Source organism: Homo sapiens, chromosome 9 (genome assembly GCF_000001405.40).
Source record: "Homo sapiens chromosome 9, GRCh38.p14 Primary Assembly".
NCBI classification, from domain to species: Eukaryota; Metazoa; Chordata; class Mammalia; order Primates; family Hominidae; genus Homo; species Homo sapiens.
The window spans coordinates 132,345,304-132,362,330 of NC_000009.12; the positions used below are offsets into that span (position 1 = coordinate 132,345,304).

General features: G+C 43.9%; 1 protein-coding gene across 13 annotated transcripts in view, besides 7 other annotated features; it reads right to left on the reverse strand.

Moving 5' to 3' along the window:
• The window catches only part of SETX (senataxin), a 95,389-nt gene extending 83,948 nt beyond the window's left edge, over positions 1-11,441 (reverse strand). For 7 of the 13 annotated variants that reach the window (NM_015046.7, NM_001351528.2, XM_011518406.3 and 4 more), the window contains exons 1-4: positions 9,614-9,683; positions 8,346-8,452; positions 3,949-4,132; positions 958-1,168 (exon numbers count right to left, since the gene is read on the reverse strand). In NM_015046.7, coding sequence (NP_055861.3) covers positions 958-1,168; positions 3,949-4,125 — 388 coding nt within the window. In that variant the 5' untranslated portion in view covers positions 4,126-4,132; positions 8,346-8,452; positions 9,614-9,683. Of the gene's footprint in view, positions 1-957; positions 1,169-3,948; positions 4,133-8,345; positions 8,453-9,333; positions 9,684-10,015; positions 10,128-10,716; positions 10,820-11,367 lie in introns of those variants that run through there. The other 6 variants (XM_047423023.1, XM_011518405.4, NM_001351527.2 and 3 more) reach the window with 4 other exon arrangements.
• Positions 5,890-5,939: an enhancer, noted in NCBI's record as "active region_29217". NCBI's record gives its function as "activates an Ori minimal core promoter by ATAC-STARR-seq in GM12878 lymphoblastoid cells {active_cell/tissue: GM12878}" and the evidence as "EXISTENCE:reporter gene assay evidence [ECO:0000049][PMID:35858748]".
• Positions 8,947-9,448: an enhancer, noted in NCBI's record as "H3K27ac hESC enhancer chr9:135229637-135230138 (GRCh37/hg19 assembly coordinates)". NCBI's record gives its function as "activates a minimal SCP1, AML or CMV promoter by ChIP-STARR-seq in naive H9 embryonic stem cells {active_cell/tissue: H9 hESC(naive)}" and the evidence as "EXISTENCE:reporter gene assay evidence [ECO:0000049][PMID:30033119]".
• Positions 8,947-10,467: a biological region, named in NCBI's record as "CDK7 strongly-dependent group 2 enhancer GRCh37_chr9:135229958-135231157".
• Positions 9,268-10,467: an enhancer, noted in NCBI's record as "CDK7 strongly-dependent group 2 enhancer chr9:135229958-135231157 (GRCh37/hg19 assembly coordinates)". NCBI's record gives its function as "activates an origin of replication core promoter dependent on BRD2, BRD4, P300/CBP, MED14 and CDK7 cofactors, with strong dependence on CDK7, by STARR-seq in HCT116 cells {active_cell/tissue: HCT116}" and the evidence as "EXISTENCE:reporter gene assay evidence [ECO:0000049][PMID:35650434]".
• Positions 9,333-9,542: a silencer, noted in NCBI's record as "silent region_20429". NCBI's record gives its function as "represses an Ori minimal core promoter by ATAC-STARR-seq in GM12878 lymphoblastoid cells {active_cell/tissue: GM12878}" and the evidence as "EXISTENCE:reporter gene assay evidence [ECO:0000049][PMID:35858748]".
• Positions 9,449-9,948: an enhancer, noted in NCBI's record as "H3K27ac hESC enhancer chr9:135230139-135230638 (GRCh37/hg19 assembly coordinates)". NCBI's record gives its function as "activates a minimal SCP1, AML or CMV promoter by ChIP-STARR-seq in naive H9 embryonic stem cells {active_cell/tissue: H9 hESC(naive)}" and the evidence as "EXISTENCE:reporter gene assay evidence [ECO:0000049][PMID:30033119]".
• Positions 9,593-9,982: a silencer, noted in NCBI's record as "silent region_20430". NCBI's record gives its function as "represses an Ori minimal core promoter by ATAC-STARR-seq in GM12878 lymphoblastoid cells {active_cell/tissue: GM12878}" and the evidence as "EXISTENCE:reporter gene assay evidence [ECO:0000049][PMID:35858748]".

Genomic DNA, 17,027 nt, shown 5'->3' on the forward strand with positions numbered 1-17,027 from the left:
CTGTCTGTCACCCAGGCTGGAGTGCAGTGGCACAATCTTGGTTCACTGCAACCTCCGCCTTCCAGGTTCAAGTGATTCTCCTGCCTCAGCCTCCTGAGTAGCTGGGATTACAGGTGCCTGCCACCACACCTGGCTAATTTTTGTATTTTTAGTAGAGACAGGGTTTCACTATGTTAGCAAGGCTGGTCTTGAACTCCTGACCTCAGGTGCTCTGCCTGCCTCAGCCTCCCAAAATGATGGGATTACAGGCGTGAGCCACCATGCCCGGCGAGAATGAAAATTATTAATAATTGAACAAAGAGGTGAACAGATACGTAATAAAGCAAATATAGCAAAATGTTAACAACCGTATAAACTATGTGATGGGTATATCATGTTCACTGTATAATTTACTTTTCTATGTTAAAAAATTTTCACAATAAAATGTTGAGAGCCAGGCATAGTGGCTCGTGCCTATAATCCCAGCAATTTGGGAAGCTGAGGTGGGAGGACTGCTTGAGCCCAGGAGTTCAACACCAGCCTGGGCAACAGTGAAACTTCATCTCTACAATAAACACAACATAAAATTAGCTGGACGCAATGGCACACGCCTGTACTCCCAGCTACCCACAAGGCTCAGGCAGGAGTATTACTTGAGCCCAGGAGGTAGAGGCTGCAGTGGGCCATGACTGCGCCACTGCACTTCGGCCTAGGAGACACAGCAAGACCCTGTCTCTAAAAAAAAATAAAAACAATCTTCAGTTACCCTCTGAACAAGATAAGTTTGAACTGTGCCCCAAAAATAGGTATTTTGTGTTTGAACTCAAAAAATAAAAAACGTTGGAAAAAAAATGAAGTCCTAATTATATATCCTAATTATATGTTTAGCAAACAAATTTGCAATATAGATAAGCCTAAATTCTTATGGTACTAAAATAATAAAACTGATATAACTTGAGGAACCATCAAGATACTCACTAACACGTTCATGTAGAAGCAAGTAAGGATATTTCAGTATTTCAAGAAGAGGAACTCGAAGCTTATTTTCAAAGTCTTGCCCAGTGATGTCAAACAGTGGCATCTCTCCATTATTGTCTACTATATATAACTCATCATCATCTCCAATTTCTGCCTTCATGGATTTTTCAAAGTGATTTATGAGACGTAAGGTTTCTAATTCCCATAAAACCTAGAGGAAAATAAAATGGGCAGTGTGCGTTATGTCTTATCATCAACAAAATACACTGAATGTGACGACCTAGAAAGCCTTTTCCTAAGTACAAAAATTCTGAAATGTAAAGTATTAGAGCTTGTATTTTAGATTTAAAGAAAACTATTCAAATGTGGCCACTTTTATGAAAAGTGAGTACACAGAGTATGAGATATTGGCTAGGCACAGTGGCTCACAGCTGTAATCCCAGCATTTTGGAAGGCTGAGGTAGGAGGACTGTTTCAGGTCAGGAGTTCGAGACCAGCCTGGGTAGCAAAGCAAGACCCTGTCACTAAAAAAAAAAAAAATAGAAAAATTAGCTAGGTGTGGTGCATGCCTACAGTCCTAGCTTCTCTGGAGGCTGAAGCAAAAGGATCACTTGAGCCCAAGAATCTGAAGCTACAGTGAGCTATGATTGTGCCACTGTACTCCAGTCTGGATGACATAGGGAAACCCTGCCTCTAAGAGAAAAAGAAAACAGGCCAGGCACACTGGCTCCTGCCTGTAATCCCAGCACTTTGAGAGGCTGAGGTGGGCGGATCACCTGAGGTCGGGAGTTCAGAACCACCCTGACCAACACGGAGGAACCTCGTCTCTACTAAAAATACAAAAATAGCCAGGCGTAGTGGTGCATGCCTGTAATCCCATATTCGGGAGGCTGAAGCAGGAGAATCGCTTGAACCCAGGAGGCGGAGGTTGCAGTGAGCCAAGATCACGCCACTGCACTCCAGCCTGGGCAACAACAGGGAAACTCCATCTCAAACAAAAAACCAAACAAACGAAAAAAAACAAGAAAACAAAAAATAGTATGCTATGTTTAAACACTTTTTATTTTTTTTTGAGACAGAATCTCGCTGTCGCCCAGGCTGGAGTGCAATGGCGTGGTCTCAGCTCACCGCAACCTTGGCCTCCCAGGTTCAAGCGATTCTCCTGCCTCAGCCTCCTGAGTAGCTGGGATTACAGGCGCCCACCACCACGCCTGGCTAATTTTTGTATTTTAGTAGAGACGGACTTTCACCATGATGGCCAGGCTGGTCTCAAACTGCTGACCTCGTAATCCACCTGCCTCAGCATCCCAAAGTGCTGGGATTACAGGTGTAAGCTACAGCACTCAGCCTTAAACACTTCTCTTGTAGAAGTTTTCTATAAATATCTCAACATCCCTATCAACTACATTCAAAAAAAAAAAAAAGAGAAGCTGGAGCCTCTCTGTCAAATGCAAAACCGAGGCCCTTCTATGTCTTCCCTTCTATGTTCTAGCCATAGCTAACTACCTTAGTGCAGCTTGTGGTATAAAAGACGCTGGATAGCTTCATAATTAGAAAACTTTATAAAGTGCACGTTTCTCAACACAAGTCCATTACTAATCATCCTCTCCTCTATATACTGTATATATCTCTATGGTCTACGTTCTGTTTTTCATCAATAAATAAACCAAATATTCAAAGCCAAATATTTAGAATTATATCTTTCACTTTTGTTATCATGACTGGAAAATATGCTTGCCCTTAAAGGTTTATGCCATTTGCCCATTAAAAAAAGAAAAAAAGAAGTTATTATTACCAATTAAAAAAAAAAAACCCTGGCCAGGCGCAGTGGCTCACAGCTGTAATCCCAGCACTTTGGGAGGCCGAGGTGGGCAGATCACCTGACGTCAGGAGTTTTGAGACCAGCTGGGCCAACATGGTAAAACCCCATCTCTACTAAAAATAAAAAATTAGCCGGGTGTGGTGGCACGTGCCTTTAGTCCCAGCTACTTGGGAGGCTGAGGCAGGAGAATCGCTTGAACCCACCTGGGAGGCAGAGGTTGAAGTGAGCCAAGATCACGCCACTGCACTCCAGCCTGGACAAGAGAGTGAGACTCTGTCTCAAAAAAAAAACAAAACAAAAAAAAAACAACCCACTAACAAAAACCCAGGCCATTCAGATACTCAGATACATGCATGTATTATAGCACTGACCAAAAAATTATGAAACAAATCCCCTCCCAATGACTTTATTTCATTAAATTATTTTATACCAATGTGACTAAAAGCAACAGATCATAAAATTCTGATCCAGGTTTCAATTCCATCCGTGATAAACATTTACTCAGCACCTAGTATATACCAGGCAATGAGTTAGGTACTTGACTTATATTAGCCTTCAAAGTCGGCCAGGCATGGTGGCTCATGCCTGTAATTCCAACACTGGGGGGCCAAACCGGAAGGATCACTTGAGCTCAGGAGTTCAGGACCAGCCTGGGCAAAATAATAAGACCTCGTCTCTACAAAAAAATTTTAAAAATTAGCAGAGCATGGTGGCACATGCCTGTAGTCCCAGCTACTCAGGAGGATGAGGTGGGAGGATGGCTTGAGTCCAGAAGGTTGAGGCTGCAGTGAACCGTGATCGCACCACTGCACTTCCAGCCTGGGCAACAGAGCAAAGACCTTGTCTCCAAAACATAGCAAAACAAACTATGAAAACCCATGTGGCCCATGGAAAATCATGAGACAGCACTTCCACTTTCAGGAATTTGTCCTAAGAATATACTCGAATGTGTAAAATGATATATGTATAATCACTCCACTGCACTCCAGCCTGAGTGACAGAGTGAGACTCCATCTCTAACAACAACAAAAACAAAACAAAAACAAAAAAAAAAACCCACAAAGTTGAAATCGTATCATCATTTCTCTGAATACTTCCAACGGAGTTCAAACTTACTCTCTTCCCAGCTATCAAGCTCTGAAAAATATTGCCCATCTAATATATTTTACCTCATGCAAGAATGGCAATTCATCTCTTGCTTTGTGGTACTCAGCCACACACTCCAAGCAGTAGCAGAGGTCTTCGTCGGCTGTTTGAAATTCACCGGACGGAGTGTTGGAAGCATAGCGCTTTAGGAAGTCAATGGTGGAAGCACCACCTGGCGTACACCAACAACATGTGCTCATTCTGTACCTACAGCCAGAAAAGATGACATCAAGAAGAAAACCAACTTCAGACCTACTGTGTGTCAAGAATAGGTACACTTTCAACTTGTGACCCTGGTTTCAATTTAAAATGTGTCACTAAAACCCAAATCTTCTGCTGGCTGGCTTATCAATCACTGATTCACTAAACTAAAAAAATCCTTCTATTTTTGACATACGAAAAATACAGAAAAATAAAAGCATTGTATAAGGAATAAGTATCATAAGGCAACATAAAGTTGTGCTACAGAGAAGGCTCAAAACAACACAGTACCGATAGAAAATATATAGAGACCCAGACTTACCAATATTTTCAAAGTACAGATTTTGGAATGGGGAAAAAAGTTACCAACTACAAACTTAAGTTCATTTCATAAACTGAATGGACCTAGCTCAGCATTCTCATCAGGAGTGATGTCACCCTCAAAGAGATCTAAAACTAGTTAGTGGGACGTGAAAAAGCCCTCCTCTTTTTAGATATAAAGCTCAGATAAACATACAGTACATAAAGAGAGACACAATATATTGGTGGTAATAAAATTCACAGGAGAGGCAGTTTTTAAAAATGTTTAAAAACTCTCCACTCAGGGAGAAAGGTTAGAAGGAGGTTAAAAAACCTAAGTAAGCTGGGAACGGTGGCTCATGCCTGTAAGCCCAGCACTTTGGGAGGCCGACGTGGGCAGACTGCTTGAGGTCCGCAGTTCGAGACCAGCCTGGCCAACATGGTGAAACCCCATCTCTACTAAAAAGAATACAAAAATTAGCTGGTGGTGCGCATCTGCAATCCTAGCTGCTTGGGAGGCTGAGGCAGGAGTACTGCCTGAACGTGGGAGGCAGAGGTTGCAGTGAGCCAAGATTGCGCCACTGCACTCCAGCCTGGGTGACAGAGTGAAACTCTGTCTCAAAACAAACAAACAAAAGAAACCTAAGTGAAGACACTGAGTATGTGGGAATGGAAACATGGCAGTGTGAGATTTTTGAGTATCACCGTCACCCTAAAATTCAGAATACATAATCTTTACCAACAGGAAATATAAAACATCTCAACAGAAACTAGGCTTGGCTGCTGAGGCTTCTGTGGCATAAAGCTAGTTCCTAAAATAAAGTGATTTTTTAAAATTCTTTAATTTCTTCTTATACCCACAATTAAATAATTATTTAGAAATGCATAAGCATAATCAAATACATTGTCATATGAATTGATTTTTTAAAATTTATTAAATATTACTTTTACTTATGCTTTTGAAGAGGTATACTTTCTTCATGGTTCTAAAAAGAATTTAGGGTAGCTTTCAACATTAAAGTACATACACACAAAAGGACATTTAAAAATGAGATTTCAAAAAACAAAATCAAAACTTCTTTAGAAGAAATTTAATTTCACTAAGTTCTACATGAGGAGCTTCCTGAAAGCAGAGAAAAAGGATAACATGAGTTACACAGTTCTCATCGACGTGGGGGGGAAAAAGAGTATGCAGTGATAGCCGCAGAGTACCGCCCTTTCCTGACACAAACTCTAACTCAATTACATTTTATTAATGCCTTCTAGTACAAGGGCACTGCAGACTAGGAAATGCCAAGTAACATGGGATAAGGTCTTCAATGTATTTCTGCAGAATTTAAAATTATTTTATTCAAAAGAAGAATTACTTATACCTAAGAGGCCAACATCACACTACTAGTAAGTTAACAGCTTGCAGAAGCTGTTTTTTTTTCCGGTAACCTAGTTTAATATGGAAAGTGAACTTAGAAGACGTAAGAACAGAAAGTGAAACTTCATGGAGGTTTCTCAAACATTTGAAGCATGATTTCAGCAGCTAACAGACTGCAGCCAATTTAAGCTTTAAAAAACTTAAGTGAGACTACCATGCAAATAAAATGTTGCATACTTCTTTTCCCACTTACCTTACTTGAAGCTCCAAATGTTGTGTACTTTAAAATAAGTACTAACAAAGGAGACAACAAAAGAAACCTTCTATTAAGAAAATTACAGAATTTGCTTTTTATTTCACTTAGAAAACTAGCCTATTTCCACAACCAAAAAAGCAAGACTAAATTTTCTCAAAATATATAGGAGTTACTACCAAAATAGGTGAGTGTCATGGCCGCTAGAAGATAACGGAGAATACTGCTGCAGAGCACACCAACAAGAGAACATGTGCTTCCATGGTTCTTCTTCAAAAGGCTGTGTGTGTGGTTTTGTCTTCAAATTTAAAATCATCACTGGCCTAATGGCTAAGCCCAGGAAACCTCAATAGGGCATATTTTGTCTTTAAGGAGAAAATTATTGCTTCTAAACTACTGTGAATCCTCTTAAGCTTTTATACAACTCAGTTCTTCTTGAGGTCTATTTTGTTAGTTTCATCAGACTGTAACGGCTTGCAATCATTAGTGAATGACAAATGGGTGTGTCCAGACAATACTCAAGTTGCAAAACCAAAATTAAAGCAACTCTCTGAGCACCCACCAAAAAGAGAGCTAATGTGTCAAAACCAAAAATATAGGATGCTTCACCATAGGTATTACTGTAATTTTCTACAGACTTATCCTTAGGCTATCCATTTCTCAACATTAACTAGCCAGAAACTTCAAATAACAATCTCTTTCTTCTACACTTCTCAGCTAAACATCTGGAAGTTTAGATTCACTACCTCCCAGCTCTTCAGCTCCTTTGCACTCTGGCTTCTACCCTTACACTCCACTGAATGTGAAGTCCCTAACAATCTTTACATTACCAATCCAATAGGTTCCTGACCTGACTCTGCTAAAGCATATGAAAATGCTGCCCATCCTTTCCTTACCTACAACACACCATTTTTTGGACACCACTTCTACCCAATCACCTTCATAATTACCCCTGCCTTTGTTACTCATATAAATGCTAAAGTTTTCGAAGGCTTGTCCTGAGAATTCTCACCTCTTCATTCAGTACTCTTTCTGGGCGGCCTACTTCAAACCACTGCTTCAACTACTGCCTAGATTGAAGCTGCCCAGACTGAGAATGTATTGTAAAACTTAATGCAGGCAGGGCGCAGTGGCTCACACCTGTAATTCCAGCACTCTGGGAGGCCGAGGCGTGAGGGATCACGAGGTCAAGAGATCAAGACCATCCTGGCCAACATGGTGAAACCCCGTATCTACTAAAAATATAAAAATTAGCTGGGCATGGTGGTATGCACCTGTAGTCGCAGCTACTGGGGAGGTTGAGTGAAATGATGCACTGTTCCACCTACTCAATAACTGACAGCCTAGCCTAGAACTCCAGATATATTCAATATCCAACTGCATACAGTGTATCTCTACTCACATATCTGACAGGCACCTCAAAGTAAACATGACCAGAACCCAACGAAGTCCTTCCCTTAAATCTGTTATTTGTTCTATATTCCCTTGTTGATGACATTACCATACATTCAATTTTCAAACCAGTAACCTAGGAATTATCCTATACGCTCCTTCTCCCTCAGCCGCAATCTCTGAGCTCCAGAGCCTACCCCTTAATTACATCTCTACTTTCTTCTCAGTGCAACCGCCACTGCCTTAGTTCAGTACATTTTCATCATTTGCCTGGATTACTGAAGAAGCCTAAATGATCTATTTCTTCTTTGATCGCCATCAATTCCTCCTCCAAAATGCTGCCAGAGGCCAAAGCCCCAAACTGGACTTCGAAAGCACAAATGACTCCTCCTCCAATGTTGGGATAAAATTCAAATTGCTGAGCTCAACACACACAAGGCCCGCGATGATCCAGCTTCCACATCATCTCTTTCCTCCACACTTACCTCCCTTGACTTGCTCTTCCTAAAACCATTCATGGTGACTGGTATTCCCTGCCTTTATGGAAGCTCTTCCACTGGCCTTGGAAACCCACCCTCCTACCTCTGCCCGGTACTTAACTGTGAATACACATCAGACTTACCTCAGGAACTTAAAAAAAAAAGTAGAAAAGATCCTATGGATAAAATTGTTTCCCTTTTAAAGAACTCCACTAAGATTCGAAGAGAAAGCTGGATTTGAGAACAACCAGTGTGCAAGCTCTTCCTGAGTGTCATCACGTCTGGGGGGGGGGCCTGTCCGACCCGTCCTCTCTTCCAGTCTATCTCTGATGACCTTCTTCTCTGTCCCTTTAGGACTCTGCACATGTTTCCATCATTGCACTTACCTTGGTGCTCTGAACTCCTGCTAAAAAAAAAAATTATTACCTGGACAAATGGCCTACAGAAAAGTGATCGTCTCAGCTGGGCTTAGTTGTGAACAAACACGGATTTGCATTCATATATGCCCAGACTCTGGCCCCAAAAGAACATTTCTGAAATTAAAAAACAAAAAACGAAATTGGTAAGTGGCATTTATACTCTATATCCCATCTGAGCCTGGTATCGATCCTATTACAGACAGATACTGCTGGCTGATGAGGAAGCCCAGATAGGTTAGACAACTTGGCTGTGGACTTCCAGGAAACAGCAGAACTGCAATTCTGACTCCCAGTTCCACAAGGGGCTGTCCCCACTCACGGGGACAGCTAGGCACCGAGCCAAAAATCCCCCAAGTTATTAGCCCGCGCAGGTAACATCAATCCTAGGATCCTCAGCTGTGTCACTTATCAAATACCACACTCGGCCTTCTCCTTGTGGAGCTCTTTTCCCTCAAGGCAGTCACCCCCGTTTCACTTGGGTCGTGCAAATTGCTGGGCACATCCTTAGATCCCCAGAAGTTGGGGAGGACGGACAAAGTCCTGTGGCCAGCAGCAAAAGCTCCAGCCCCTCCAAGTGGGAGAAACAGACTCTCCTCCAAACGAAGGGACCGGCCGGGCGCGGCGGCTCGGAGGATCCCTGGAGCAGCTGAGCTCAGCCTGGGAAACACAGCCAGGCCCTGTCTCTGCAACACATTTTGTTTTTAATTAGCCGGGCGTGGTGACGCGCGCCTATGGTCCCAGTTACTCGGGGGGATGAGGCGGAAGGATCGCTGGAGCCCAGGAAGACGAGGTTGCTGCGAGCCGTGACTGTTCCACTGCACTTCAGCCTGGGTGACAGAGCGAGACCCCGTCTCAAAAAAAAAAAAAAAAGAAAAAAGAAAAAAAAACAAAGGGAGGGACTCCAGGCGAGAGGCAGACGAGCGTGTGGAGGGAACCGACACTTTCCACCCCGAGACCTCCCGCTCAGCCCCAAGGAAACTACGCAGTATCCACACCAAAAACAGCTCACACGAGACCGCAGTGTAGACAACGGAAGGACAGGGGGTCGCAGCGGCCGGGTCCAGCGCGCAGGAAGGCAACAGGCGGCCGCCAGCCGTCGAGGGGTGCTCCCGCCCCCGCACCGAGGGAAGCGGCCGAGCCCGCGCCGACTCTTCCCCCATCCGCCCACCGGGACCTAGGCGCCGCGATGGTTCCCCGAAGCGGCCCTGCAAGCACAAGCCGCGCCTGCGCTCACGCCCGCCCGACCTACGGCCTCCAGCCCGCCGCTACCCTCACCGCTCTCTGGCTGGCGTCGGCCTCTAGCCCACCTCCATACCGGGCCCCGCTCTAGGCCACCAGCGGAAGTGCGGGCCCGCAGCCGCAGCTACCAACCAGCTGTTGCCGCGAGGTAGGCCCCGCCCCCGCGCTGAGTCGGCCGGCCGCAGGCCCCGCCCCGGCCGCTGCTTTCTGGTTTTGGTGCCCCCCAGGGGGCGGGGCATGGGAAGAGCGGCCGCGGTGCACCGCCCACGCCGGGCGCTGGCGTCACGTCCGGGCAGCTGGGGCCCGACCAATCCCGAGTCCCCGTCAGGGTGGACGGGGAGAGTTTGCCGCGGAACCTTGACCTCGGCCCCGCCCGGGGCTTCCTGCGGGTGGGGCGGCTCCGGGATGAGCTCTGCTGCGGGTGGGGTCAGCCCTTACCCGCTGGCCATTTCCGTTCCCTCTTTTTTCTTCTTTTTTCCACGCCTCAGGTGTCTCAGCGGATGTACTACGGTGACGAAGTAATTTTTCTCTTTAGATTTCCTTTAAAGACCTGAAATGTAAATTACATAAACGTGTAATTTCGGAGGAATATGTGTATATCCTTTATATTACAAGAAAGGGAGACCTTAGGTCTTGCGAACAATGCGCGCGATGCGCAACACAGCAGAGTAAATCCCTCGCTGGTGCGGTGGCTCCCGCTTCTAATCCCACCACTTTGGGAGGCCCAGGCGGGAGGCTCGCTTGAGCCCGGAGTTCAGAGACCAGCCTGTGCAACATAGCGAGACACCCGTATGTACAAAAAAAAATTAAAACTCAGCCACCGAGGCCGGGCGCGGTGGCTCACGCCTGTAATCCCAGCACTTTGGGAGGCCGAGGCGGGTGGATCACCTGAGGTCAGGAGTTCGAGACCAGCCTGACCAACATGGTGAAACTCCGTCTCTACTAAAAATAAAAAGATTACCTGGGCGTGGTGGCGGGTGCCTGTAATCCCAGCTACTCAGGAGGCTGAGGCATGAGAATGGCTTGAACCCGGGAGGCAGAGGTTGCAGTGAGCCGAGATCGCACCACTGCACTCCAGCCTGGGCAAAGGAGCGAGACTCTCTCTCCGGAAAAAAAAAAAAAAAAAAAAAAATTAGCACCTGTGGGCCCAGCTTGTTGGGAGGCTGAGGCAGGGGGTGGATATCCATTGAGACCGGGAGATCGAGACTGCAGTGAGCCGTGACTGTGCCACTACACTCCAGGCTGGGGAACAAAGCAAGACCCTGTCTCAGAAAAGTCTATAAATAAATAAAAATGAGTAAAATCCACTGGAAAGCCTATCCCCCCCCTTTTTTGTTTTTGAGATGGAGTCGCGCTCTGTCACCCAAGCTGAAGTGCAGTGGCGCAGTCTCGGCTCACTGCAACCTCCGCCTCCTGGGTTCAAATGATTCTCCTGCATCAGCCTCCCGAGTAGCTGGGAGTACAGGCGTGTGCCACACGCCCGGCTAATGTTCATGTTTTTAGTAGAGATGGGGTTTCACCATGTTGGCCAGGATGGTCTCAAACTCCAACCTCAAGTGATCCGCCCCGCCTCGACCTCCCAAAGTGCTGGGATTACAAGCGTGATCCACCGCACCCGGCCCCTACCCCCTTTTAGTAACGCCTACTACTGACCACGATGATGCAGCGTCACCGTCTTACAGTTAATAGAGGAGACAGGGAAATTAAACAATTAGTAGTGGTGACTCAGGCGATAAAAAAAGAGGCTGAGATGGGCCAGCTTGGGAAAAGTGGGTCAGATACAGCCTTACCGAGGAGAACCCTGGCCCGAGGATGAGGAGCAAGCCCAGGGGAACACTGCGGGAAAGGCCCAAGGCGAAGGAAGATTCTAGCAAGGGGGCGTGGCTTGTTGGAAGGGCGTGGTGGCCGTTATGCAAATTTAACCGTCTAAGGAGCAGCACGCGTTGACCGTTATTTTCCTCTTTTCTACTTCTTCATCCTGTCAAATATTTTGAACATATTTTGTTTTATCATATAACACTAATATACCAACACAGCCTTTATACCACCACAGTCATAAAATATAATTTTTTTTTTTTTTTGAGACGAGTCTCGCTCTGTCGCCCAGGCTGGAGTGCAGGGGCGCCATCTCGGCTCACTGCAAGCTCCGCCTCCCGGGTTCACGCCATTCTCCTGTCTCAGCCTCCCGAGTAGCTGGGACTACAGCCACGTGCCACCACGCCTGGCTAATTTTTTGTATTTTTAGTAGAGACAGGGTTTCACCGTGTTAGCCAGGATGGTCTCGATCTCCTGACCTCGTGATCCGCCCGCCTCTGCCTCCCAAAGTGCTGGGATTACAGGCTTGAGCCACCGCACCCGGCCATAAAATATAATTTTTATCATTTTTTTTAATGGAGAAAAGTGCCATGAAGGTAACTTGTGCCCAGAGCCCACAAAAGTCATAATTTCCTCCTGTCCCTGAAGCCCTCTGTAGGCCTTATCATCTTCCCACATTTTTTGTCTGTGAACAACATATAAATTTTACATGCTTTTTAACTCTGTATATGGAATTATGGAGGATGTATTTTTCTGCAAATTGCTTTTTACACTCAATGTTATGTCCTGAGACTCATTGATTCAAGGTGCATTCAGGAATTGTTGAGCCCAAAACTTACACAACCTATAGAATGTTAAACAGAAGCACTGCAATAGACTTTGTAAATATAAAATTAGAAATGAAAATTAATACTTATTTGGAATGAATAAATAAGTACAAATTACAAACTTCTAAAGCTGATAAAACCATAAACATGGCCAGGCGCAATGGCTCAGGCCTGTAATCCCAGCACTTTGGGAAGCTGAGGTGGGCAGATCACCTGAGGTCAGGAGTTCAAGACCAGCCTAGCCAACATGGTGAAACCCGGTCTCTACTAAAAATACAAAAATTAGCCAGGCTTAGTGGTGCATGCCCGTAGTTCCAGCTACTTGGGAGGCTGAGACAGGAGAATGGCTTGAACCCGAGAGGCGAGGCGACAGAGTGAGACCTCATCTCCAAAAATAAATAAATAAATAAATAAATAAATAAATAAATAAATAAATAAATAAATAAAAAGACTGGGAAGTATGAGGCCTCCAGTATCGTTCTTTTTCAAAATTGTTTTAGCTACTTAAGGTCCCTTGCTATTCCATGTGAATATTTAGAATTGGCTTGTCCCGTTTCTGCAAATAAATAAGTACAAGCAGTTGGAATTTTTATAGGGATTGAATTGTATTTTTAGATACATCTGGGGAATCAATTGACACCTTAACAATATTAAGTATAGCAGGTTCTCTAATAAGATCATTTTGTTCAATGTGGTTTTGTTATAACATTGATGAGAAAAAAAAAATCCATTCCTGCTCAAGGCTTTTTTTTGAGACGGAATCTCCCTCTGTAGCCCAGGCTCTGGAGTGCAGTGATGCGATCTTGGCTCACTGCAAGCTCCGCCTCCCAGGTTTCGGTTCAAGCAATTCTCCTGCCTCAGCCTCCTGAGTAGCTGGGATTATAGGCACGCACCACCACGCCCAGCTAATTTTTGTATTTTTAGTAGACACGGAGTTTCAGCATGTTGCCCAGGCTGGTCTTGAACTCCTGACCTCGTGATCCGCCTGCCTCAGCCTCCCAAAGTGCTGGGATTACAGGTGTGAGCCACCGTGCCTGGCCCCGAGGCCACTTTGTGTGTGGAGTTTGCCCCTTCTCCCCATGTCTGTGTGGGTTTCCTCCAGGTACTCCAATTTCCTTCCCGATTCCAAAGATGTGCCAGTTAGGTTGATTGGCATGTCTACATTGTCCTAGCCTGAGTGAGCATGGGTGTGTGTGTGAGTGTATACCCTGCAAAGGGATGGCATCTTGTCCAGAGTTGGCACCCACCTGGCACCAGGAAAGATTCTGGCCATCCGCGATCCTGAACTGGAATGAGTGGGTAGATTATTACCTTGTTAATCTTATTAATAAAGATTAGTCTTTTATTAATCTTTCTTGAATGTATAGCCTACATTTATTTCAATGTTTAATATTAGAAGTGTTTTGTGTGTTTACTTAGAAGTTTGGTCAGAATAACTGGCTTTTATGAGACAAGTCAGAACTTGTGGCTCAGAAGACAAACCCCACACACATTCAAGTGGATGAAAACAAGCCCCCTACAAGGGCTCTATCCTCCTCCTCCTCCTAGTTGTTCTTTAGTTTCAGAACCTGTTTGATGTGTTTTTTTAATCCTATATATATTTTACGGTTGTGACTTATCCATTGTTTGATTTTTGTACAAGAAAATCTTTGCTATAGAAATCAGTATACTATTTTTATCTGGAGAGAAGATATTATGGCAACTTAAACTGTGGTCAGATGTTAGAGAAAAATGTATAAATGCCTTCTTGCCATGCTATCAGTCATATTACATTCATTTTATATTGACTGACAATATCAAAAGTTTCTTTTTTTGTTTGTGTAAACTCTAATTTCTATCAAGGTGTAATGAATATTTAAAGTTGGTTTTTCATTACAAATCTCTCAGTGTTGGTTAACTGATTTTTGCCAGGACCATTATGCATTAAGCAAACAAATTCCACAGCCATTTGGGGGTAAAAGAGTAGGTTACTGATTTGAGATATTTCTTCTTTTTTAATGTAGGTGTCTACAGCTATAATTTGTCCTTGGAACACTGCTTTTGCTACATCCCATAGATTTTGGTATGTTGTATTTTTGTGTTCATTTGTCTCAAAGTATTTTATTTTATCTATTTATTTATTTTTGAGACAGAATCATTCTCTGTTGCCCTGGGTGAAGTGCAGTGGCATGATCACAGCTCACTATAGCCTTGATATCCAGGGCTCAAGCGATCCTCCTACCTCAGCATCCCAAGTAGCTGGGACTATAGGCAAATGCCACCATGCCTGGCTGATTTTTTCTTTTTTTTTTAGTAGAGACAAGGTCTTGCTATGTTGCCCAAGCTGGCCTCGAACTCCTGAGCTCAAGCAGTTCTCCCACCTCGGCTTACCAAAGTGCTGGGATTACAGGTGTGAGACACCACACCCAGCCCAAAGTGTTTAACTTCCCTTTTGATTTCTTCTTTGACTCATTGGTTGTTTTAGAGCATGTTGTTTAATTTCCACATATTTTTGAATTTTTTTGTCTTCCTTCTGTTATTTGCAGTTTCATTCTATTGTGGTCAGCGCATATACTTTTCATGATTTCAACCTTTTTAAATGTATGGAAAATTGCTTGAGGCCTAACATATGACCTGTTCTAGACAATGTTTCATGTGCACACGAGAAGAATGTCTATTCTGCTGCTGGTGGTTGGAATGTTCTGTATATTCCTGTTAGGGCTAGTTGGTTTATAGTGTCATTCAATTCCTCTGTTTCTTTAATGATCTTATGTCTGAGTGTTACATCCATTATTGAAAATGGGGTGTTAGGCCAGGCGTGGTGGCTCACGCCTGTAATCCCAGCATTTTGGGAGGCCGAGGCGGGTGGATCACGAGGTCAGGAGATTGAGACCAGCCTGACCAACATGTGAAACCCCATCTCTAGTAAAAATACAAAATTAGCTGGGCATGGTTGTGGGTGCCTGTAATCCCAGCTGCTCAGGAGGCTGAGGCAGTAGAATCGCTTGAACCCAGGAGGCAGAGGTTGCAGTGAGCCAAGATCGCGCCACTGCACTCCAGCCTGGGCGACAAGGCTAGACTGCGTCTCAAAAAAAAAAAAAAATTAGCTGGGCGTGGTGGAGGGCACCTGTAGTCCCAGCTACTCGGGAGGCTGAGGCAGGAGAATCACTTGAACCCAGGAGGCAGAGGTTGCAGTGAGCCAAGACCATGCCATTGCACTCCAGCCTGGGCAACAAAAGCGATTTGTCTTTAAAAACAAGAAAAAGAAAGAAAAGAAAAGTGAAAAAAAAAGAAAATGGGGTGTTAAAGTCTCCAAATATTATTGTACATCTATTTCTCCTTTCAATTTTATCAGTTTTTGCTTCATTTTTTGAGGGGCTCTGTTAGGTATATATGTATATATATACACACACATATATATATGGATTTTATATATATATAGGTTATATATATGTATATATATTTATGACAGTTATATCTTCTGATGGATTGATGCTTTTATCATTATATCATATCCTTTGTTCCTTGTAACAATTTTTGTAACAATAATTTGTAACAAGCTACAAATTATACTAATTTGTCTGACATTAGTGTAATTACTTCTGCTCTGTTTTGGTTACTATTTGCAAAGAATGTTTTTCTCTTAACTATTTATGTCTTTAAATATAAAGTGAGTCTTTTTTTTTTTTTTTTTGAGAGAGAGTTTCCCTCTTGTTGCCCAGGCTGGGGTACAATGGCGCAATCTCGGCTCACCGCAACCTCTGCTTCCCCAGTTCAAGGGATTCTCCTGCCTCAGCCTCCTGAGTAACTGTGATTACAGGCATGTGCCACCACGCCCAGCTAATTTTTGTATTTTTAGTAGAGACAGGGTTTCTCCATGTTGGTCAGGCTGGTCTCGAACTCCTGACCTCAGGTGATCTGACCACCTCAGCGTCTCAAAGTGCTGGAATAACAGGTTTGAGCCACTGCGCCCAGCCAAAAGTGAGTCTCTTGAAGACAGCACATCAATTGGATCATTTTTAATCCAATCTGCAATCTGTTTTATAATTCAAGAGTTTACTCAATTTAAATTTAATGTATTTACTGATTTAAAAAGATGTCACTTTTGCTATTTTTCTATTTGTTTTCTGTATGTCTTATATATTTTTGTTCAGTTCCTCCAATGCTGCCTTCTTTTGTGGTAAATAGATATTTTATAGTATACTATTTTAATTCTCTTGTCATTTGTTTTACAATATGTTTTTGAATTATTTTCTTAGTGGTTGCTCTGCAGATTACAATGTACATCTTAGCTTATAATAATCCTGTAGGATTAATATGGTTTTTTTTTTTTTTTTTGAGACAGAGTCTCACTCTGTTGCCCAGGCTGGAGTGCAGTGGTGAGATCTTGGCTCACTGCAAGCTCCACCTCCCGGGTTCACGCCATTCTCCTGCCTCAGCCTCCCGAGTAGCTGGGACTGCAGGCACCCGCCACCACGCCCGGTTAATTTTTTTTTTTTTTTTTTTTTTTGTATTTTTGGTAGAGACGGGGTTTCACCGTGTTAGCCAGGGTGGTCTCGATCTCCTGACCTCGTGATCCACCTGCCTCAGCCTCCCAAAGTGCTGGGATTACAGGCGTGAGCCACCGTGCCCAGCCTGATTTAGTTTTAATAGCATACAAAATCTTTGCTTTGCTCTCTCTTTATATTGTTATTTCTATTGTTGGTGGGCCAGTTTAGGTTCTTGACTTCACTGTACAAAAGAATTTGAGAGTGAATCTAAAGTGAAAAATAAGCAAAAGAGGCTGGATGCGGTGGCTCATGCCTTTAATCTCAGTACTTTGGGAGGCC